Below are 24,922 nucleotides of genomic sequence, written 5' to 3' on the forward strand. Positions count from 1 at the left end.
ATACAAAAGGATTTATTCCTTGTTTCATCAAGAAAGCTTGCTATGAAAAAAGTATGTTAGCTGGGCTGGGTGCAGTGGCTCATGCTTGTAATCCAAGCACCTTTGGAGACCAAAATGGGAAGATTGCTTTAGGCCAGGAGTTCAAGACTAACCTGGGCAACATAGCAAGTTCCCATCTCTACAAAAAATTAGAAAAATAGCCAGGTGTCATGGCACTTGCCTATAGTTCTAGTTACTTGGGAGGCTGAGGGAGGATGATTGCTTGAGTCCAGGAGTTCAAGGTTGCAGTGAGCTATGATCATGCCACTGTACTCCAGCCTGGGTGACAGAACAAGATCCTGTTTAAAAGAAAAAAAAAGAAAAAAAAAAGAAAAGGCTGGGCATGGTGGCTCACCCCTGTAATCCTAGCACTTTGGGAGGCCAATGCGGGAGGATCACCTGAGGTCCGGAGCTCAAGACCAGCATGGCCAACATGGTGAAACCATGTCTCTACTAAAAATACAAAAATTAGCCCCGCGTAGTGGTGCATGCATGTAATCTACCCGGGAGGCTGAGGCAGGAGAATTGCCAGAACCCGGGAGGCAGAGGCTGTAGTGAGCCAAGATCATGCCACTGCACTCCAGCCTGGGCTACAGAGTGAGAATCTGTCTCAAAAAGAAAAGAAAAAAAGGGAAAAGAAAAGAAAAAGAAAAGGAAAATAAATTTCAGCTGACCTAAACATTGCGCTTAGCAAAGTAGTTGATTTTCAAGTTTCTTATGTTGTCATGGACTAGAAACAAACAGTTCTTGTCTGTGGGTCTCACTTTGAGTAACACTTCTTAGATTATTGCAATAGTTAGAGATGACAGTGACTGGGACTGAAGCAATAATAGTAGAGATGGTAAGAAGTGGATATATTAGGGCTCTATCGTGATGGTAGAAACAGAAGGATTTGCTTAAAAATTCATGGAGGTAGGAGAAAGAGGGATTAAGGATAATTCTCAGAGTTTGAACTTGAGCAACAAAGTAGTTGGTAGTGGTGTTTACTGTGTTATAGAAGACCAGGAGAGAAGCAGCTTTGAGGGGAGATCTCAAATATTCTGTTTTGAACATGTCATCTTTGGGAAGCCTATTAGAAATCTCAATGGAGATGTTGGGCAAGTAGTCTTGAATGCCACAGAGAAGTTAGGGCTTTACATGTTTTAGAAAAAGGTAATTTGTTCACATGTTTCAAACATCAAAAAGTAAAATATCATAAAATTCAAAGTCTTTTTCTATGTTTGTCTCTCATTTCTCTAGTTCCTACTTTACTCCCTTCCTTCTTAGTTTCTTATGTATCCTCAAAAGTTTCTTTATTTAGATCTATATTTAATAAAGTTTCTTTATTTAGATCTATATTTTACCACGTGTGAAAATATTTTTAAGTTTGTTTATGCCTGTACAAGCATATACAAATACACATGCTTGTTTTCACTCCATTTTACACAAAAGTAATATTTATATGTATATTATAAGCTAAATGTTTGACTTCCCCCAAATCCATTTGTTGAAATCCTAACCCCTTATATAATAGTATTAGTAGGTGAGGCCATTGGGAGGTATCTATGTCAGTTTGGGTTGCTATAACAGAATACCATAGACTGGGTGTTTTAAACAACAAACATTTATTTCTTACAGGTCCTCTGCTTGATTAGGTCCAGCCTTGATCTTCCCTCTTGGTCCTTGTGGAATCCAGTTTGGACAGTCAGTTTAGGGAAAATCCCTTATCCTTGGTATCTTCTCATTGTATCTTCACATGGTTGGTGGAAAGATGAGAGAGAGAGAGGGAGGGAGGGAGAGAGGGGGAGAGAGAGAGAGAGAGAGAGAGAAAGAGCCATCTGCAAACAGGACGAGTGCTCTCACTAGACACTGCATCTGCTGGAGCCTTCCTCTTGTACTTCTCCACCTGCAGAGCTGTGAGAAGTAAGTGTTTATTATTGAAGTCACCCAATCTGTGGTATTCTGTTATAGCAGCCCAAATTGACTAAGATAATACATATTTTTCTGCACTTTGCTGTTTTCTCTTAATAGCATACCTCAAGTTTTTTTTTGTAACAGTGTATAGCTTCCTCATTTTTAAATTCAATAGCTACACAGTATTTGGTTATAAGGATATACTGTAATTTATTTAACCAGTTTCCTATTGATATAATTAGGATAGTTGGCATAATTTCCAACTGGTTGATTTCCAAAGTCTCTTTCAAATTCGAAGATTCATAATACCCTCTATCAAATGAGTATTTTCAGAACTATCCCTTCCTTTTCTTCCCCCAAAAAGGAGTGCTAAAAATTATTTATGATACTTGTTAAAGATTGTTAAGGTGGGCTGGGTGCAGCGGCTCACACCTATAATCTCAGCACTTTGGGAAGCTGAGGCGGGTGGATCACTTGAGGTTAGGAGTTCACGACTGGCCTGACCAGCATGGTGAAACCCCGTCTCTACTAAAAAATACAAAAATTAGCCAGGATGGTGGCACACACCTGCAGTCCCAGATACTTGGGAGGCTGAGGCATGAGAATCGCTTGAACCTGAGAGGTGGAGGTTGCAATGAGCTGAGATCATGCCGCTGTACTCCAGCCTGGGTGACAGAGTGAGACTCTGTTAAAGAAAAAAAAAAAAACAGAGATGGCAAGGAGGACTTTATTCAAGGGGGCCATGGAGATAGGTGTAGGGAACATGCCAATGGGGTCTTGCAGTGAGGGGAAGAGATTTGACTCAACTCTGACTTCAACAAGAACAGGTGGAGTTTCATAACTAAGAAGCAGAGTTGGGGGGTCAGGGATTGGAAAATTACTCAGAGGAAACATCAAGGATAAGAGGTTTTTGGCTAAACTGACTTGATAGGGATTATGGCTGGAGGCAGGCCTGTATTACAAGATATAGAGGGTGGTCAGATACAAAAACTGACTTAGTAGTATTCCTGCTCAAACTGAATTCAACAAGGACAGAGAGGGTAGCCCAAGATCAGGCATGGTCAGAGGACACAAAAGAGACTGACTAAAGTTTTGGTCAAAAGGGAGAGTTTTTGTCAAAATGCATAAATTGTGTTCTGGTAATTCTAATAATTTTTAAGATGTTATTGCCATGATTAGCTTACAAAGTCTTCAACATTTATTTAACAAATATTTATTAAATATCAACTAACAATATATGTCTAACACTGTTCTAGGTGTTGGAAACACAGCAATGAACAGACAAAAATCTCTGTCATAGAATTTACATTTTAATGGGCAAGAACAAAGGATAAAGGGAAATATAAGGTATGTTAGATACTGATGAGAACTAAGAAGAAAAGAAAGTTGGGAAAGAGAATAGGGAGTGTTTTTGTGTTTGTGTGAAAGTGTTTACATTTTAGATAGGATGACCAGGGAAGTCTTTGCTGTGAAGGACATATTTAGTCAAGGTCTGAAGGAAGTGGGAGGGTAAGTCCTATGGATTTGTGGGGGTAAAAACATTCTGGGCAGATGGCAGATAACACTGTTTGAGACATTTTTCAGTGATTCCAATGCTTGGGTTATTGGAGAGCTCTTTGGCGTCTGTTGCTTGAATCTGTTTTCTCTACCATGGTCCCACTGACCTTCCATTTTCACCTAGCTCCCTGGCTTCCCACTCTGGATGCTAGGATGAGTATGATGAAGAGGACTGAATATTGTTTTTCCGACTCCTTAGGCCTTTGTTTCAATCTCTTTTTCTAGGCTGCTTCTCATCTGTTTCCCTGGCTGTGTTTCTCTGTTAGGCTGCCATCTTGGTCTCTAATTTCTGCTGTGCTGTGCCTTACTCCACTTCTGTAACAACTTTAAGCCAAGACTGAGCCCATTAGATCAAAGCCTGTTTAAAATGAAACTGGGCCTGGTAAAATGACCAAATTAATCCCTCTTAATTAAGTGAGAATAAAGGAATGCAGACATTTCAACTACAGAGATAAACGAAAGGAGAAGCAGGAAAATCAAAGCCAATCCAGACCAATTACTGATATGTATAAACACCCTCAAGCTTAGCACTATTTTGTCAGGCCCAGAACTGCTCCCTAGGGTGAAGCCCCTTTAAATTTAATAAGGTGGCTTCAGGCCACAGATATTCCATTGATCCAATTAACTTTACTTGTTCAACTCTAATCTTCTATTCTCACTTTTGAGAACTCCACTTTGTTCTTTATAACGGCTTGGATCAATTCCCTGATGTGTGTTTGGTATCCTTTTAGAAAGGTCCTCCTACATTTTTTTTTCTCTCTCTGGTTTATATTGGTTTCTAGTGTCTGGATTCCTGGAATAGTCAAGCAAGACTATTGTTTTTCTTTAAGGTCTCCGTAAGCCATAGCCCCTGGTCTTGAATTCTCACCCCTTAGAGGGCAATGCAGTGCTCCTCAAATTCTCTGCTCTATTCTAATAACAGCCTGTGCAATTCTGTCTTTCCAGCTGGGTTAACTACTGGGAGGCTATTTTATGGCAGTATCAGAATATATAGAATATGCTAATGTAAAAATATCAGTGCTAGGAAGTTAACAAAGCCCAGGGGTTGGAAAAATTTAATGAGAGTCAAAGGGTTATGATAAAAAAAACTTATAAAAATTGTTAGGAGCAACATTAAAAATTTTTTTAATTTTATTTTTCCATAAGTTATTGGGGTACAGGTGGTATTTGGTTACATGATTAAGTTATTTAGTGGAGATTTGTGAGATTCTGGTGTACCCATCACCCGAGCAGTATATGCTGCACCCTATTTGTTGTCTTTTATCCCTTGCCCCCACTCCCTCTCTTTCCCCCAAATCCCCAAAGTCTACTATATCATTCTTATGCCTTTGTGTCCTCATAGCTTAGCTCCCACATATCAGTGAGAACATACGTTGTTTGGTTTTCCATTCCTGAGTTACTTCACTTAGAATAATAGTCTCTAATCTGATCCGGGTCATTGCAAATGCTGTTAGTTCATTCCTTTTTATGGCTGAGTAGTATTCCAGCGTGTGTGTGTGTGTGTGTGTGTGTGTGTGTGTGTGTGTGTGTATTTCACATTTCTTCATCCACTTGCTGATTGATGGGCATTTGGGTTGGTTCCACGATTTTGCTATTGTGAATGGTGCTGCTATAAACATGTGTGTGCAAGTATCTTTTTCAAATAATGATTTCTTTTCCTCTGGATAGATACCCAGTAGTGGGATTAGTGGATCAAATGGTAGTTCTACTTTTAGTTCTTTAAGGAATCTCCACACTGATTTCCATAGCAGCTGTACTAGTTTACGTTCCCACTACCAGTGTAGAAGTGTTCCCTGATTGCATCCATGCCAACATCTACTGTTTTTTAATTCTTTGATTATGGCCATTCCATGCCAACATCTACTGTTTTTTAATTCTTTGATTATGGTCATTCTTACAGGAGTATGGTGGTACTGCATTGTGGTCTTGATTTGTATTTCCTTAATCATTAGTGATGTTGAGCATTTTTTCATATGTTTGTTGGCCATTTGTATATCTTCTTTTGAGAATTGTCTATTCATGTCCTTAGCCCACTTTTTGATGGGATTGATTATTTTTTTTCTTACTGATTTATTTGAGTTCATTGTAGATTCTGGATATTAGTCTGTTGTCAGATATATAGATTGTGAAGTTTTTCTCCCACTCTGTGGGTTGTCTGTTTACTCTGCTGTTTTTTCTGCCATGCAAAATCTCTTCAGTTTAATTAGGTCCCAGCTATTTATCTTTGTTTTTATTGTGATTGGTTTTGAGTTTTTGGTCATGAAATCTTTGCCTAAGCCAATGTCTAGAAGGGTTTTTCCAATGTTATCTTCTATAACTTTTATAGTTTCAGATCTTAGGTTTAAGTCCTTAATCCATCTTGAGTTGATTTTTGCATAAGGTGAGAGAAGAGAATCCAGTTTAATTCTCCCACATGTGGCTAGCCAATTATCCCAACACTGTTTGTTGAAATAGGTGTCCTTTCCCACTTTGTTTTTGTTTGCTTTGTCAACGATCAGTTGGCTGTAAGTATTTGGGTTTATTTCTGGGTTCTCTATTCTGTTCCATTGGCCTATGTGCCTATTTTTATTCCAGTACCATGCTGTTTTGGTGATGATGGCCTTATAGTATAGTTTGAAATCAGGTAGTGTGATGCCTCCAGATTTGTTCTTTTTGCTTAGTCTTGCCTTGGCTGTGTGGGCTCCTTTTTGGTTCCATATGAATTTTAGAATTGTTTTTTCTAACTCTGTGAAAAATGATGGTGGTATTTTGATGGGGATTGTGTTGACTTTGTAGATTGCTTTTGGCAGTTTGGTTATTTTCACAATATTGATTCTACCCATCCATAAGTATGGGATGTGTTTCCATTTTTTGTGTCATCTATGATTTCTTTCAGCAGTATTTTGTAGTTTTTCTTGTAGATGTCTTTCAACTCTTTTGTTAGGTATATTCTTAAGTATTTTACTTTTTTTACAGCTATTGTAAAAGGGGTTGAATTCTTGATTTGATTGTCTGCTTGGTCGCTGTTGGGGTATAGGAGAACTACTGATTTGTGTACATTAATCTTCTATCTGGAAACTTTGCTGAATTCGTTTGGCAGTTCTAGGAGATTTCTGGAGGAGCCCTTAGGGTTTTCGAGGTAAACAATCATATTGTCAGCAAAAATTGACAGTTTGACTTTCTCTTTACCAATTTGGATGCCCTTTATTTCTTTCTGTTGTCTGATTGTTCCGGCTAAGACTTCCAGTACTATGTTGAAAAGGAGTAGTGAGAGTGGGCATCCTTGTCCTGTTCCCATTCTCAGGGGGAATGCTTTCAACTTTTCCCCATTCAGTATTGTGTTGGCCTTGGTTTTGTCATAGATGGAGACAGAGCCTTGCTCTGTCACCAAGGCTGGAGTGCAGTGCATGATCTCGGCTCACTGCAACCTCCACTTCCTGGGTTCAAGTGATTCTCTCGCCTCAGACTGTCAAGTAGCTTGGACTACAGATGTGGTCCACCATTCCCAGCTAATTTTTGTATTTTTAGTAGAGATGGGGTTTCACCATGTTGGCCAGGCTGGTCTCAAACTCCTGACCTCAAGTGATCTACTCACCTTAGCCTCCCAAAGTGCTGGGATTACAGGCATAAGCTACTGCACCCAGCCGCAACATTAAAGTTTTATACCAATCTTGTTGCCAGGGCAAAAGGCTCCTCACAGGCTCTGATAAGGTTTGGATTTGTGACCCTGCCCAAATCTCATGTTGAATTGGAGGAACAGCCTGGTAGGAGGTGATTGGATCATGGGGGAGGATTTTCCCCTTGCTGTTGTCTTGATAGTGAGTGAATTCTCATGAGATTTGATGATTTAAAAGTGTGTGGCACTTCACCTTCATTCTCCTGCTCCACCATGGTAAGACATGGTTGCTTCCCCTTCACCTTCTGCCATGATTGTACATTTCCCAAGGCCTCCCAGTCATGCTTCCTGTTAAGCCTGTGGAAGTGTGAGTCAATTAAACCTATTTTCTTCATAAATTACCCAGTCTCATGTAGTTCTTTATAGCATTGTGAAAACTAACTAATACAGAAAATTGGTACCAGGAAAGTGGGGCATTGCTATAAAGATACCTGAAAATGTGAAAGCAACTTTGGGATTGAGTAACGGGCAGAGGTTGGAACAGTATGGACAGCTCAGAAGAAGGCAGGAAGATGAGGAAAAGTTTGGAACTTCCTAGGGACTTGTTGCATGGTTTTGACCAAAATGCTGACAGTGATATGGACAATGAAGTTCTGACTGAGATAGTCTCAGATGGAGATGAGGAACTTACTTGGAACTGGAGTTTACTCTTGCTATGCTTTAGCAAAGACACTGGTGGCATTTTGCTCCTGCCCTAGAGACTGTGGAACTTTATACTTGAGACAGATGATTCGGGGCACCTGGCAGAAGAAATTTCTAAACATCACAGCTTTCAAGATGAGACCTGGTTGTTTCTAAAAGTGTATGCCCATAAGCATAATCAGAGAGATTTTCTGAAACTGGAACTTATATTTACAAGGGAAGCAGAGCATAAAAGTTTGGAAAATTTGCAGCCTGGCAATGTGGTGGAGAAGAAAAAATCCATTTTCTGGGGAGAAATTTAAGCTGGCTATAGAAATTTGCATATGTAAAAAGAAGCCAATGTTAGTAACCAAGACAATGAGGAAAATGTCTCCAGGGCATGCCGGAGAACTTTAGTGGCAGCCTCTCCTATCATAAACCCTGAGGCTAGTAGGAAAAAATGGTTTTGTGGGCCAGGCCCATGGTCCAGCTGCTCTATGCAGCCTTGGGACATGGCATCCTGCATGTCAGCTGCTCCTGCTCCAGCTGTGGTGAAAAGGGGTCAAGGTACAACTCAGGCCATTGCTTCAGAGGGTGCTAGCCTCAAGCCTTGGTGGCTTCCACGTGGTGTTGGGCCTGTGGTTGCGCAGAAGGCAGGAGTTGAGGTTTGGAAGCCACCACCTAGATTTTAGAGGTTTTATGGAAACACCTGGATGTCGAGGCAGAAGTCTGCTGCAGGGGTGAGGCCCTCAGGGATGACCTCTACTAGGGCAGTGTGGAGAGGAAATATGGAGTTGGAGCCTCCACACAGAGTCCCCACTGGGGCACTGCCTAGTGGAGCTGTGAGAAGAGGGCACTGTCCTTCAGGCCCAAAATGTTAGATCCATTGACAGCTTGCACCATGTGCCTGGAAAAGCTACAAGAACTCAACCCCAGCCTGTGAAAGCAGCTGGGAGGACTGTACCCTGCAGAGCCACAGGATCAGAGCTGCCCAAGGCCATGGGAGCCCACCCCTTGCATCAGCATGCCCTGGAGGTGAGACATGGCATCAAAGGAGATCATTTTGAAACTTTAAGATTAAATGATTGGCCTGCAGGATTTTGGACTTTCATGGGGCCTGTAACCCCTTTGTTTTGGCAAATTTCTCCCATTTGGAACAGGAGCATTTACCCAATTCCTGTATCCCCATTGTATATTTGAAGTAACTAACTTGTTTTTGATTTTACAGGCTCATAGGCAGAAGGGACTTACTTTGTCTCAGATGAGACTTTGGACTGTGAACTTGTGAGTAAATGCTGAAATGAGTTAAAACTGGGGGCCTATTGAGAAGGGATAATTGTATTTTGCAATGTCAGAAAGACATGAGATTCGGGAGGGTCTGGGGCAGAATGATATGGTTTGAATTTGGGTCCCTGCCCAAATCTCATGTCAAATTGGAGGAGGGGCCTGGTGGAAGGTGATAGAATCATGGGGGCGGATTTCTCCCTTGTTGTTCTCATAAGATTGAGTGAATTCTCATGTGATCTGATGGTTTAAAAGTGTGTTGCGCTTCTCCTTTTGCTCTCTCTTCTGCTCCACCATGGTAAGATGTACTTGCCTCCCCTTCCCCTTCTGCCATCATTGTAAGTTTCCTGAGGACTCCTGGTCATGTTTCTTAAGCTTGTAGAACTGTCAGCCTATTATTCTTAGTAAACTCCCTTTCATAAATGCATATATCCTATTAGTTCTGGCCCTCTGGAGAACCCTAACTAATACATCATCCAAGAGTGAACAGTGTTTCTCTCTCAGTATGGTGATTCTGTATTGAGATTTCCTCTGTGGTTTACTATGTTTTCTCAGATTTTTCTTCTGAGAAATGTTGATGTTCAGAAAACAAATGGATATTCTAAAAATCTAGAGGCTCCCTTTATAGCAATGTGAGAATGAACTAATACAGACTAATTCAAATATTCACACCCATTAGGACCATTTGATAGGAACAGAGAATGATTATGTAATTATTATGCTAGCTATGTTAAAAAATCTGGTTTGAGGGCGCTAGATTTTTCACTGGGAGTCAATTGGATGTGGAGAGTGGAGTTTTCTAGAACAAGTCTTCTTTTTTAAAAAATACACTGAATATAATTTGAGCATTTATATGTACAGACACTATCAAAAGACAAAATTATAACAAATTTAAATATCTTAATTTGTTTTATTTGTGATTCTAGAATTGGACAACACCTTATTTTATAAATTAGGATGAGTATTCTGATAGCCTAACAGAAGAGGTTGGTCTTATAGACAGAAAAGAATGGAGAAAAGCAGAAACAGAAAACAAAAAGTGGACTGGTCATTTCAAAGTTACTTTTCCTGTAAAGGTTAAAGCAAAGAAGACTTCCTTAATATGCTGGCTAAAATGGGCCTGTTTGGAGATTTGGCTATTATCTCTCTCTCTTCTGATTTCTTCAAAGCTCATATAAAGATCTAAGTGTCTTTGTGGCACGGAACTTAAGCATAAGTAACCCCATTTTGGTTTTGTCTACTGGGCATAGTGTATGAGCTCAGTCCAATCCAATGGCCTCCTGTAACTTTTATTTAATAGTTCCCCCTTTTGGTCACCAAGGTGAGAGTGTGACAAAAACTTAAGGTACCAGTGATACTCTTAGTCACAATCATTTTTGGTTTTCAGTCCTAGCACATCATTCGTAGGTTATGATGTCCTTATTATTGTGCATTTTTTTGGAGTTTTCATTATTCCAGCTGGAAAGAGACCATTTAGTATTGAACAAATGGTTGCACATAGATGTTTAAGACTTTTAGAGAGGATATAGTGCATCAGGGATACTACTATATGACTATAAGGAGGATAATACTAAGAGTTTAGAGTATGCCCCTTAGTCAGGGTCCACATGAATCAAGCTAACTGCAATCAAATAGATCAAAGAATGAACCAGATAGGAAATCTACCTATTTTAGGCAAGTAGCCTGTTTGTTCTATTTATTCATATGCAGCAAGAAATGTTAGCAACTGCACAGATTCTTCTCTGTTCAGCTAGTAGGTTGCAATTCTGTTATCTAATATTCCCTAACTTAATTTGGCATGACAAATCCAACATTTTTGTCAAGTTACCCACAGATTGCAAAATTTCAACTACAGCATTATTCTGCCAAGAGAAAAAGCTAGGCACAGCAAGGAAAACTTAAGAGTTGTAGCCAGATATTAAAGGAAACTAGAAAAATTTAGGATCCAGTTTAGTCTACAGGTAGATGATAAAAACTCAGAAACAATGGACAGGTCTACAGTCCAATAAAAGGTATAGTATAGTTTTTCTTTTTTCTTTTCTTTTTAAATTTTTTTTGAGACACAGTTTCACTTTTGTTGCCCAGGGTGGAGTGCAATGGCACATCTTGGCTCACCGCAGCTTTTGCCTTCAGGATTCAAACGATTCTCCAGCCTTAGCCTCCTAAGTAGCTGGGACTACAGGTGTGCACCACCACACCTGGCTAATTTTTTATTTTTAGTAGAGATGAGGTTTCTCCATGTTGGTCAGGCTAGTTTTTTTTCTGAAACATAATTTTTCTCTTAGCAGTCACCCCCATTTCTACCAAAGATAATCAAAGTAAAACTAATTTGTTTGAGCTGAATCAAACTTGGCCTGATTATTTACTTAAGTACAGCCGGAATAGTGATTCACCACATAGGCTCTTTTAAAGTTTGCTTTGCTGGAACTTTGGATAAGAAATTTCAGAGAGAACTTGCAAAAGCCTCTCAAGGATAGGAAACCAAACCAATATTTCCAGTTGTATCCTGTTATAAAGAGAATGAGTTCTTTTTGAACTTGTACAAATAACTGTATTGCCATAAAAATAAGAACATTCATGAGTAGTTTCTGAATTCTGGAGGGATCATGTCGAGAGAAAAAGTAAATATTTCAATTTTATTCACAAGAGTATACTTATACTTTACCATATAGCTGTGATCTATAGATAGCTTAAAAGGAAAAATGTTTCCTGGAAAACCAAAGAACCAGCAAAATTTCAAATAAAAAACTCAGAAAAATCCATAATTCTTCTTTTTATTTTATTTTATTTTTTTATTATACTTTAAGTTCTAGGGTACATGTGCACAATGTACAGTTTTGATACATAGGTATACATGTGCCATGTTGGTTTGCTGCACCCATCAACTCGTCATTTACATTACATTAGGTATTTCTCCTAGTGCTATCCCTCCCCCAGCACCCCCCACCCCCGACAGGCCCTGGTGTGTGATGTTCCCCGTCCTGTGTCCAAGTGATCTCATTGTTCAATTTCCACCTATGAGTGAGAACATGCAGTGTTTGGTTTTCTGTCCTTGTGATAGTTTGCTGAGAATGATGGTTTCGAGCTTCATCCATGTCCCTGCAAATGACGTGAATTCATCCTTTTTTGTGGCCGCATAGTATTCCATGGTGTATATGTGCCACATTTTCTTAATCTAGTCTATCATTGATGGACATTTAGGTTGGTTCCAAGTCTTTGCTATTGTGAATAGCTCACGGCAGCTTTGAACTTCTGGGCTCAAGTGATCCTTCTGCCTCAGACTTCTGAGTATCAGGACTACAAGTGCATCACTTTTTTTTTTTGACAATACTTCTCATATAACATATCAAACAAGACGGATTAACATGCTCTTTTAAAATTGTAAATGTTCAGTGTTTTCCGGGGGCTGAACTGGAAAGTCCTGAAGTTAATTTCAGGTCAAAAAAGACTTAATTTAGGATTTAATTTTGGGAAGTTTGTCCAAAATGTTAAAAGTTGAAAAACATTTATTATAGTTGTTTATTTAATCAGAGTGACACTATCAGATTTTTATGGCAAATATAGAAGTTTATGTTACAGGTAGTTAGGCAGACAGGGCTTTCCCACTCACTAGGAATTTTGGGTGATGGTTTGACAATTATCACATTGTCTGTCTAAAAGTGATAAACTGGCAGCTGGCACCAGGGAGAGGCCATTTTCTGATGGTTTACACCTGTTGTGCTAAAGTATTAATTGAATGCAAGTGCCACAGAGAAGCAACTTCCTGGGCATGCACATTAAAAGACAAATGGTGGATTATGACCTTTCAAGGGTACGACACCAGAAAAAGGAGGAAACCCTGAGATGGGCATGCATAAAACTTCCTAAGCACACTGCATGTGCTCACTTTCCAAGGCTAAATAGGGCACTGTGCATGAGGGCAGCCCCCGCTAAGGGAAGACTCATGGGAAAGGACAGCCTGTAAAATCCTAGGATCACAGATAAACAGGGCACTTGTCCTTCAAGTTGCCCTCTTGGGTCTCTTCCAAGCGTACTTTCCTTTCTTTCCTGTTCTAAAGCTTTTTAAAACAAAACATCCACACCTTGCTCTCTTTTTTTGCCTTATGGCCTTCAGTCGAATTCTTTCTTCTAAGGAGGCAAGAATTGAGGTTGCTGCAGACCCATATGGATTTACCACCAGTAACACAGATACCTTCCACCAGTAATAGTTACAGAGTTGTGAGCAAAAACCTCATTCTTTTGATATTGAGAAGACTCACTTTTTAAACAAATATCAAAGAACTGATAAAAGACAGCACAAAGCACAAGAAATTATCTTGATAAAACACAAAATCTTTTTTTCCTAGCCAATTACCTAAAAGGTAAAGAAAAACCTTTCACTATTTTCTATTAAGAGCAGATCAATATTCCAAGAAAACCTTGTTTTAACATACAGAACCAAATTCTAGTTTTGCATCAGTGTACTTTTGATATTAATTCTCATTTTTTAGAAAAAACTTAGAACTTTTTTCATAATCTTAGCCAGTTTGATTGCACATAAAAATTCTTTCACAAGATTCATTTTTCACAAATGTTTTACAACTTTCTTATCCATTCAATTTTTGCCCTATATTTTCTTATTTTTCATCTCGAAACAACTACTCTACTTTATGACAAAAATTACTCTCTTTTGTTGGGTGTGGTGCCTCACTCCTGTAATCCCAGCACTTTGGGAGGCTGAGATCACTTGAGGTCAAAAGTTTGAGACCAGCCTGGCCAACATGGTGAAACTCCATTTCTACTAAAAAAAACAAAAACAAAAAAAACAAAAAACAAAATCAGCCAGGCATGGTGGCACACTCCTGTAGTCTCAGCTACTCAGGAGGCGAGGCAGGAGAATCACTTGAACCCAGGAGGCGGAGGCTTCAGTGAGCCAAGATCATGTCACTGTACTCCAGCTGGGTGAGAGAGTGAAACTCCATCTCAAAAAAAAAAAAAAAAAAAAAGAAAAGAAATATTAAATCTGCCAACTTTTTCTCCTGGTTACTCTCCCACCATGAAGTCAAAAAGAAAGCTGGATAAAGTATTTATGAAGGACAAATCAAGTGAATTGGCTTCTTTTTCAGAGTTATCCATGCTAACTCTAGGCATAGGGAATGTATTCTTGGCCCTGGAGTCAGTTATCTAGTTAAGAAACAAAGCTAAGTTTAAAGACCACCTATCAAACTAAACCAGTCTCCAAAATACACCTTTATGGGAATTTAGCTAGCTATTTTGAAATTCTTTGTAAGAAATTTACAACTATAAAAGAAATCTCCCTTTGTAGGACTGTGTCCCTCTCTGCACCAGGAAGAGAGAGAGAGCTAGAAAGGAGAGAATGTCACTAGAAACGCTTACAATGGAAAAGGCATTGGCTTAAGTTTATATAACAAGTCTCACCTTTGACAATTTTGTCTTAACAAGGTTTCCTACTTAGATCTTTGTGCCGGCAAATAATGGTGTTTAAGTTCTGTGCCTTTAAGATGTAAATTTCCTACCTTGTTTCACCTAAGAGTCATCCCTTTGGAAGTAAAAATTTTGGGTTGTTGGGATAGCGATTGCTTAGGGCAATGGAAGATGTAACTAAAAGACTTACAGTCTGAAAGGGGAAGGTAAACTATTTGGAAACTGGGAAAATGAAAAGTTTTAATGAAGGCTATATGATCTGCTTCTGCCTGTATTTTTATATATGTCTGTATGTGTGTGTATGTTGTATTTGTGTGATATTTTTCCACCTCAGATGATATTGCCAAAATTTATAAAGAGTTCTATTCAGCTTAAAGTAAAAAAAGTGCTAATATAAAATATTCTCTCACAAAAATAAAAACTAACTCAAATGGCTTTTAGTTCTTGTGAGCTGAGATAACCTTCAGTAAGTAAAGCTAGTTTTTAAAAATGTTGATAAAATAAAAACAGAAATGTCTTCAAAATTGTCAGCATTTACATTATAAGTGTGCATTTTTAAACCTAGATTTAATATCAAATGAGCTTGTTATCTCCTAGATATATGAGATCATAAAGCTATAAATCCTGTCCTTGGCTAGTTTTAAGGAGCAATTCAAGCATAGTTATTATGAATGAGTCATTAGCTTTGCACAGTGGCAGTAGTGTAGCTAGTGAGGTTTATCCGAGGTGCAGTTATTGCTAATTAAAAACTTTTTGTCACCATTCCAAGATGGCTGAATAGGAACAGCTCTGGTCTACAGCTCCCAGCAAGATCGATGAAGAAGATGGGTGATTTCTGCATTTCCAACTGAGGTACCTGGTTCATCTCATTGGGACTGGTTGGATAGTGGGTGTAGCCCATGGAGGGTGAGCCAAAGCAGGGTGGGGCATCGCCTACCTGGGAAGTGCAAGGGGTCAGGGGATTACCATTTCCTAGCCAAGGGAACCCGTGACAGACTGTACCTGGGAAAACGGGACACTCCTGCACAAATACTGCACTTTTCCTATGGTCTTAGCAACCAGCAGACCAGGAGATTCTTTCCTGTGCCTGGCTCAGTGGGTCCCATGCCCATGGAGGCTTGCTCACTGCTAGTGCAGCAGTCTGAGATCAACTTGTGAGGCTGCAGCCTGGCGGAGGGAGGCATGTCTGCCATTACTGAGGCTTGAGCAGGTAAACAAAGCGGCCAGGAAGCTTGAACTAGATGGAGCCCACCGCAGCTCAGCAAGGCCTACTGCCTCTATAGACTCTACATCCATGGGCAGGGCATACCTGAACAAAAGGCAGCAGAAACTTCTGCAGACTTAAACGCCCCTGTGTGACAGCTCTGAAGAGAGCAGTGGTTCTCCCAGCATGGTGTTTGAGCTTTGGGAACAGACAGACTGCCTCCTCAAGTGGGTCCCTGACCCCATTGTAGCCTAACTGGGAAACACTTCCCAGTAGGGGCCGACAGACACCTCATACAGGTGGGTGCCCCTCTGGGATGAAGCTTCCAGAGGAAGGATCAGGCAGCAATATTTGCTGTTCTGCAGCCTCCGCTGGTGATACCCAGGCAAACAAGGTCTGGAGTGGACTACCAGCAAACTCCAACAGACCTGCAGCTGAGGGACCTGACTGTTAGAAGAAAAACTAACAAACAGAAAGGAATAGTATCAACATCAACAAAAAGGACATCTGCAACAAAACCCCATGTGTAGATCACCAACATCAAAGACCAAAAGTAGATAAAACCACAAATATGGGGAGAAACCAGAGCAGAAAAGCTGAAAATTCTAAAAACCGAGTGCCTCTTCTCCTCCAAAGGATCATAGCTCCTCGCCAGCAGTGGAACAAAGCTGGATGGGGAATGATTTTGATGAGTTGACAGAAGTAGGCTTCAGAAGGTCGGTAATAACACACTTCTCCAAACTAAAGGAGCATGTTCTAACTGTCGCAAGGAAGGTAAAAACCTTGAAAAAAGGTTAGACTAATGGCTAACTAGAATAAACAGTGTAGAGATAACCTTAAATTACCTGATGGAGCTGATAACCATGGCATGAGAACTTCGTGACACATGCACAAGCTTCAATAGCCAATTCAATCAAGTGGAAGAAAGGATATCAGTGATTGCGGGTCAAATTAATGAAAAAAGCGAGAAGACAAGTTTAGAGAAAAAAGAGTAAAAAGAAATGAACAAAGCCCCAAGAAATATGGGACTATGTGAAAAGACCAAACCTATGTTTGATTGGTGTACCTGAAAGTGATGGGAAGAATGGAACCAAGTTGGAAAACATTCTGCAGGATATTATCCAGAACTTCCCCAACCTAGCAACGCAGGCCAACATTCAAATTCAGGAAACACACAGAAGTCCACAAAGATAGTCCTCGAAAACAGCAACTCCAAGACACATAATTGTCAGATTCACCAAGGGTGAAATGAAGGAAAAAATGTTAAGGTCAGTGAGAGAGAAAGGTCGGGTTACCCACAAAGGGAGGCCCAGCAGCCTAACAGCAGATCTCTTGGCAGAAACTCTACAAGCCAGAAGAGAGTGGGGGCCAATATTCAACATTCTTAAAGAAAAGAATTTTCAACCCAGAATTTCATATCCAGCCAAACTAAGCTTCATAAGTGAAGGAGAAATAAAATTCTTTACAGACAAGCAAATGCTGAGAGATTTTGTCACAACCAGGCCTGCCCTAAAAGAGCTCCTGAAGGAAGCACTAAACATGGAAAGGAACAACTGGTACCGGCCACTGCAAAATCATGCCAAATTGTAAAGACCATCGATGCTAGGAAGAAACTGCATCAACTAATGAGCAAAATAACCAGCTAACATCATAATGACAGGATCAAATTCACACGTAACAATATTGACCTTAAATGTAAATGGGCTAAATGCTCCAATTAAAAGACACAGTCTGGCAAATTGGATGAAGGATCAAGACCCATCAGTGTGCTGTATTCAGGAGACCCATCTCATGTGCAGAGACACACATAGGCTCAAAATAAAGGGATGGAGGAAGATCTGTCAAGCAAATGGAAAACCAAAAAAAGGCAGGGGTTGCAATCCTACTCTCGGATAAAACAGACTTTAAACAAACAAAGATCAAAAGAGACAAAGAAGGCCATTACATAATGGTAAAGGGATCAATTCAACAAGAAGAGCTAACTATCCTAAATATATATGCACCTAATACAGGAGCACCCAGATACATAAAGCAAGTCCTTAGAGACCTACAAAGAGAATTAGACTCCCACCCAATAATAATGGGAGACTTTAACACCCCACTGTCAACATGGGACAGATCAATGAGACAGAAAGTTAAAAAGGATATCCAGGAATTGAACTCAGCACCAAGTGGACCTAATAGACATCTATGGAACTCTCCACCCCAAATCAACAGAATATACATTCTTCTCAGCACCACATCGCACTTATTCCAAAATTGACCACATAGTTGGAAGTAAAGCTCTCCTCAGCAAATGTAAAAGATCAGAAATTATAACAAACTGTCTCTCAGACCACAGTGCAATCAAACTAGAACTCAGGATTAAGAAACTCACTCAAAACCACTCGACTACATGGAAACTGAACAACCTGCTCCCGAATGACTACTGGGTACATAACAAAATGAAGGCAGAAATAAACATGTTCTTTGAAACCAACGAGAACAAAGACACAACATACCAGAATCTCTGGGACACATTTATAGCAGTGTGTAGAGGGAAATTTACAGCACTAAATGCCCACAAGAGAAAGCAGGAAAGATCTAAAATTGACACCCTAACATCACAATTAAAAGAACTAGAGAAGCAAGAGCAAACACATTCAAAAGCTAGCAGAAGGCAAGAAATAACTAAGAACAGAGCAGAACTGAAGGAGATAGAGACACAAAAAACCCTTCAAAAAATCAATGAATCCAGGAGCTGGTTTTTTGAAAAGATCAACAAAATTGATAGACTGCTAGCAAGACTAATTAAGAAGAAAAGAGAGAAGAATCAAACAGATGCAATAAAAAATGATAAAGGGGATATCACCACTGATCCCACAGAAATACAAACTACCGTCAGAGAATACTATAAACACCTCTATGCAAATAAACTGCCTCTGTGCATATTTTACGTTTGTCCTAAAGGTTTCTCCATATAGAGTAAACTGCAATCTAACTTGTGTCAACAGACTGTAATCCACTCTTGTAAAAAGTAGCTGAGTCTCAGCCAATCACAGCAGTTGAGTTTCAGTCAATCATAGGCAGCCATCTGTAAAAATGAAGTTGAATTCAGGTGAACACTGAATTCTAACTAATCTAGATGTCACTGTACCTCATTTTCATTTTCTGTATATCACTTACTTTTCTATGGCTGTAAATATAACCTGCACATGTGATGGGGCAGAACAGTTTGAACCATTTTTGTCCAGACTGCTGCCTGATTCTAGAATCACAAATAAAAGCCATAGGATCTATAAAACCATATTTGTTGTAATTTTATCTTTTAACAATTCTTATGAAGTCCAAAGTAGGAAATTTGTTTACTAAAATCTGATAATAGATGTGACTGTTACTGAGGCTCATGTGTAAATTCAAGGGAAAAACAGAAGGAGTACATTGTAGGTGCTCAAAAATTTTAAAATAAATGTATTTCAGAGAAATATTGGCCATTTACAGCAATTTGGGCTTATTATATTCATCATTTTCTGGATAATTAAAAACAATGTAAAAAGTGAAGTAGAAGCCCTCTTATCTGATTCTATATTTGGTCTTGTCACCATGAAAAACTATGCTCAGACTTGCAGATAAGTCATTTGGGTTTACTTAAAGATTAATATACCCAAATTTTCTGCCCTCCTTTTGTGAGAATTCCAGGCAGTTGTCAGAATAAAGCTTTTATACCATATATTGAGGTCAGCAGTGTAAGAGCAGTGTACTTTTAAGGGTCAAAAGTTTACACAAATATTCCCAGATAATGCCAGATGTTATGATTTGATTTTTAACCACAGACAGACTTTGTATTTCAGGTCATATAGACCCAAGTTCATTTTAGAATCAGACCATATATACATTCCACAGAAGTTTTTATCTAAATATACATGTATATAAAAAATGAGCATCTAAAGAAAAAACCCTTTAGTGTTAGTGAATCAAAAAAGTTCATTAAGTGGAGAATCCTTCAAAAGACAATAAGTACCTAAAATGTTTTACTTTAGAATAAAATATATAAATGAATATTTTACCAATCTTTTGATAGAGAGTGAAGCCTTTTTTTTTTTCTTAGATGGAGTTTTGCTCTTGTTGCCCAGGCTGGAGTGCAATGATGTGATCTTGGCTTACTGCAACTTTCACCTCCAGGGTTCAAGCGATTCTCCTGCCTCCACTTTCCAAGCAGCTGTGATTACAGTCATGTGACATCATGCCCGGCTAATTTTGTATTTTTAATAGAGATGGGGTTTCACTATGTTGGTCAGGCTAGTCTCAAACTCCTGACCCCGGGTGATCCACCTGCCTCGGCCTCCCAAATTGCTGGGATTACAGGCGTGAGCCACCTTGACCGGCCGGTGAAGGCTTTTATTAAAAATTATTTTTAAGCAGTTTGCTGATGTGAGGCTTTTAGGTTTAGAATTTTTTGAAGTTTTTATTACTTTATTTTCTATATTTTATAGTTTTCTTGTCTGTGTAGTTTCAAAAGAAAGTCTTTTTCTCCAATTATCTTTTCCTGAAGTCATCCCAAAGAATCCAACTTAGTTTTCTTTAACAACATTTTCTTTCTTTTTCAATGAATAATTCATCTGTATGTTATTTAATTAGACAAATTTAAAACAAGTACAATTGACATAAATAGTTCAGGATCAAACGATTGATGCTTCGAAAACGGGCACTTCATTCAGTGGGAGCTAGGGAGTGGAAGCACATCAGAGCCTACCTGCTTGGTCCCAAGACTTCCTCTTGTTTTGTGAGTCTATGTTTCAAAGCAGGAATGGAGAGCACTTGCTAGACAATTAATTGATGATGAGTTGAAAGAGACTCTATTTTACAAAGTTTTTGTTTGAGTTACCAGTACCGTAAAAGGAACAGCATTTTATTGTGAATTATTCATATTGTCTATTAATACTAACCAAGTTTTCAGGTACTTGTCTTTCCCTCACTAAAATGTACTGACATAAATTGGCCTAGCAATAGAGGGCATTTTGTGTTTGCTAAATGATTTGGTTCAAATTATTTCATATGCAACTGAAAAATATTTACCAATAAATTTAAGTGCCTATTCCATCACAAGAGGGCACTCAAGCTCCATTTTCAAAGCAAGTTTTATTTCAGGCATCAATTCTGGAGGAATTAAAATTGAAATAAAATTTAGACCTACACATTGAATTTCAACTTCAGTAAACTGTTTTTTTAAATTTTATTATTACTATACTTTAAGTTTTAGGGTACATGTGCACAATGTGCAGGTTAGTTACATATGTATACGTGTGCCATGCTGGTGTGCCGCACCCATTAACTCGTCATTTAGCATATCTCCTAATGCTATCCCTCCCCCCTCCCCCCACCCCACAACAGTCCCCAGAGTGTGATATTCCCCTTCCTGTGTCCATGTGTTCTCATTGTTCAATTCCCACCTATGAGTGAGAACACGTGGTGTTTGGTTTTTTGTCCTTGGGATAGTTTATTGAGAATGATGATTTCCAATTTCATCCATGTCCCTACAAAGGACGGGAACTCATCATTTTTTATGTCTGCATAGTATTCCATGGTGTATATGTGCCACATTTTCTTAATCCAGTCTATCATTGTTGGACATTTGGGTTGGTTCCAAGTCTTTGCTATTGTGAATAGTGCCGCAATAAACATACGTGTGCATGTGTCTTTAGAGCAGCATGATTTATAATCCTTTGGGTATTATAATTCATCCCAGTAATGGGATGGCTGGGTCAAATGGTATTTCTAGTTCTAGATCCCTGAGGAATCGCCACACTGACTTCCACAATGGTTGAACTAGTTTACAGTCCCACCAACAGTGTAAAAGTGCTTCTATTTCTCCACATCCTCTCGAGCACCTGTTGTTTCCTGACTTTTTAATGATTGCCATTCTAACTGGTGTGAGATGGTATCTCATTGTGGTTTTGATTTGCATTTCTCTGATGGCCAGTGATGATGAGCATTTTTTCATGTGTCTTTTGGCTGCATAAATGTCTTCTTTTGAGAGGTGTCTGTTCATATGCTTTGCCCACTTTTTGATGGGGTTGTTAGTTTTTTTCTTGTAAATTTGTTTGAGTTCATTGTAGATTCTGGATATTAGCCCTTTGTCAGATGAGGAGGTTGTGAAAATTTTCTCCCATTTTGTAGGGTGCCTGTTCACTCTGATGGTAGTTTCTTTTCCTGTGCAGAAGCTCTTTAGTTTAATGAGATCCCATTTGTCAATTTTGGCTTTTGTTGCCATTGCTTTTGGTGTTTCAGACATGAAGTCCTTGCCCATGCCTATGTCCTGAATGGTAATGCCTAGGTTTTCTTCCAGGGTTTTTATGATTTTAGGTCTAACATGTAAGTCTTTAATCCACCTTGAATTAATTTTTGTATAAGGTGTAAGGAAGGGATCCAGTTTCAGCTTTCTACATGTGGCTAGCCAGTTTTCCCAGCACCATTTATTAAATAGGGAATCCTTTCCACATTGCTTGTTTTTCTCAGGTTTGTCAAAGATCAGATAGTTGTAGATATGTGGCATTATTTCTGAGGGCTCTGTTCTGTTCCATTGATCTATATCTCTGTTTTGGTACCAGTACCATGCTGTTTTGGTTACTGTAGCCTTGTAGTATAGTTTGAAGTCAGGTAGTGTGATGCTTCCAGCTTTGTTCTTTTGGCTTAGGGTTGACTTGGCCATGCAGGCTCTTTTTTGGTTCCATATGAACTTTAAAGTATTTTTTTCCAATTCTGTGAAGAAAGTCATTGGTAGCTTGATGGGGATGGCATTGAATCTATAAATTACCTTGGGCAGTATGGCCATTTTCATGATATTGATTCTTCCTACCCATGAGCATGGAATATTCTTCCATTTCTTTGTGTCCTCTTTTATTTCATTGAGCAGTGGTTGTAGTTCTTCTTGAAGAGGTCCTTCACGTCCCTTGTAAGTTGCATTCCTAGGTATTTTATTTTCTTTGAAGCAATTGTGAATGGGAGTTCACTCATGATTTGGCTCTCTGTCTGTTATTGGTGTATATGAATGCTTGTGATTTTTGTACATTGATTTTGTATCCTGAGACTTTGCTGAAGTTGCTTATCAGCTTAAGGAGATTTTGGGCTGAGACAATGGGGTTTTCTAAATATACAATCATGTCATCTGCAAACAGGGACAATTTGCCTTCCTCTTTTCCTAATTGAATACCCTTTATTTCCTTCTCCTGCCTAATTGCCCTGGCCAGAACTTCCAACACTATGTTGAATAAGAGTGGTGAGAGAGGGCATCCCTGTCTTGTGCCAGTTTTCAAAGGGAATGCTTCCAGTTTTTGCCCATTCAGTATGACATTGGCTGTGGGTTTGTCATAGATAGCTCTTATTATTTTGACATACGTCCCATCAATACCTAATTTATTGAGAGTTTTTAGCATGAAGTGTTGCTGAATTTTGTCAATGGCCTTTTCTGCATCTATTGAGATAATCATGTGGTTTTTGTCTTTGGTTCTGTTTATATGCTGGATTACATTTATTGATTTGCATATATTGAACCAGCCTTGCATCCCAGGGATGAAGCCCACTTGATCATGGTGGGTAAGCTTTTTGATGTGCTGCTGGATTTGGTTTGCCAGTATTTTATTGAGGATTTTTGCATCAATGTTCATCAAGGATATTGGTCTAAAATTCTCTTTTTTGGTTGTGTCTCTGCCAGGCTTTGTTATCAGGATGATGCTGGCCTCATAAAATGAGTTAGGGAGGATTCCCTCTTTTTCTATTGATTGGAATAGTTTCAGAAGGAATGGTACCAGTTCCTCCTTGTACCTCTCGTAGAATTTGGCTGTGAATCCATCTGGTCCTGGACTCTTTTTGGTTGGTAAGCTATTGATTATTGCCACAATTTCAAATCCTGTTATTGGTGTATTCAGAGATTCAACTTCTTCCTGGTTTAGTCTTGGGAGGGTGTATGTGTCGAGGAATTTATCCATTTCTTCTAGATTTTTTAGTTTATTTGTGTAGAGGTGTTTGTAGTATTCTCTGATGGTAGTTTGTATTTCTGTGGGATCGGTGGTGATATCCCCTTTATCATTTTTTATTGCATCTATTTGATTCTTCTCTCTTTTCTTCTTTATTAGTCTTGCTAGCAGTCTATCAATTTTGTTGATCCCTTCAAAAAACCAGCTCGTGGATTCATTAATTTTTTGAAGGGTTTTTTGTGTGTCTATTTCCTTCAGTTCTGCTCTGATTTTAGTTATTTCTTGCCTTCTGCTAGCTTTTGAATGTGTTTGCTCTTGCTTTTCTAGTTCTTTTAATTGTGATGTTAGGGTGTCAATTTTAGATCTTTCCTGCTTTCTCTTGTGGGCATTTAGTGCTGTAAATTTCCCTCTACACACTGCTTTGAATATGTCCCAGAGATTCTGGTATGTTGTGTCTTTGTTCTCATTGGTTTCAAAGAACATCTTTATTTCTGCCCTCATTTTGTTATGTACCCAGGAGTCATTCAGGAGCAGGTTGTTCAGTTTCCATGTAGTTGAGTGGTTTTGAGTTAGTTTCTTAATCCTGAGTTCTAGTTTGATTGCACTGTGGTCTGAGAGACAGTTTGTTATAATTTCTGATCTTTTACATTTGCTGAGGAGAGCTTTACTTCCAATTATGTGGTCAATTTTGTAATAGGTGTGATGTGGTGCTGAAAAGAATGTATATTCTGTTGATTTGGGGTGGAGAGTTCTGCAGATGTCTATTAGGTCCACTTGGTGCAGAGCTGAGTTCAATTCCTGGATATCCTTGTTAACTTTCTGTCTCGTTGATCTGTCTAATGTTGACAGTGAGGTGTTAAAGTCTCCCATTATTATTGTGTGGGAGTCTAAGTCTCTTTGTAGGTCATCAGGACTTGCTTTATGAATCTGGGTGCTCCTGTATTGGGCGCATATATATTTAGGATAGTTAGCTCTTCTTGTTGTATTGATCCCTTTACCATTATGTAATGGCCTTCTTTGTCTCTTTTGATCTTTGTTCGTTTAAAGTCTGTTTTATCAGAGACTAGGATTGCAACCCCTGCCTTTTTTTGGTTCCCATTTGCTTGGTAGATTTTCCTCCATCCTTTTATTTTGAGCCTATGTGTGTCTCTGCATGTGAGATGGGTCTCCTGGATACAGCACACTGATGGGTCTTGACTCTTTATCCAATTTGCCAGTCTGTGTCTTCTAATTGGAGCATTTAGTCCATTTACATTTAAAGTTAATATTGTTATGTGTGAATTTGATCCTGTC

General features: G+C 39.1%; 1 pseudogene, besides 1 other annotated feature; it reads left to right on the forward strand.

Moving 5' to 3' along the window:
- Nucleotides 7,813-8,314: an enhancer, noted in NCBI's record as "H3K4me1 hESC enhancer chr6:86453957-86454458 (GRCh37/hg19 assembly coordinates)". NCBI's record gives its function as "activates a minimal SCP1, AML or CMV promoter by ChIP-STARR-seq in primed H9 embryonic stem cells {active_cell/tissue: H9 hESC(primed)}" and the evidence as "EXISTENCE:reporter gene assay evidence [ECO:0000049][PMID:30033119]".
- Nucleotides 15,155-15,327, forward strand: RNU4-72P (RNA, U4 small nuclear 72, pseudogene; annotated as a pseudogene).

This window comes from Homo sapiens, chromosome 6, assembly GCF_000001405.40.
Source record: "Homo sapiens chromosome 6, GRCh38.p14 Primary Assembly".
NCBI classification, from domain to species: domain Eukaryota; kingdom Metazoa; phylum Chordata; class Mammalia; order Primates; family Hominidae; genus Homo; species Homo sapiens.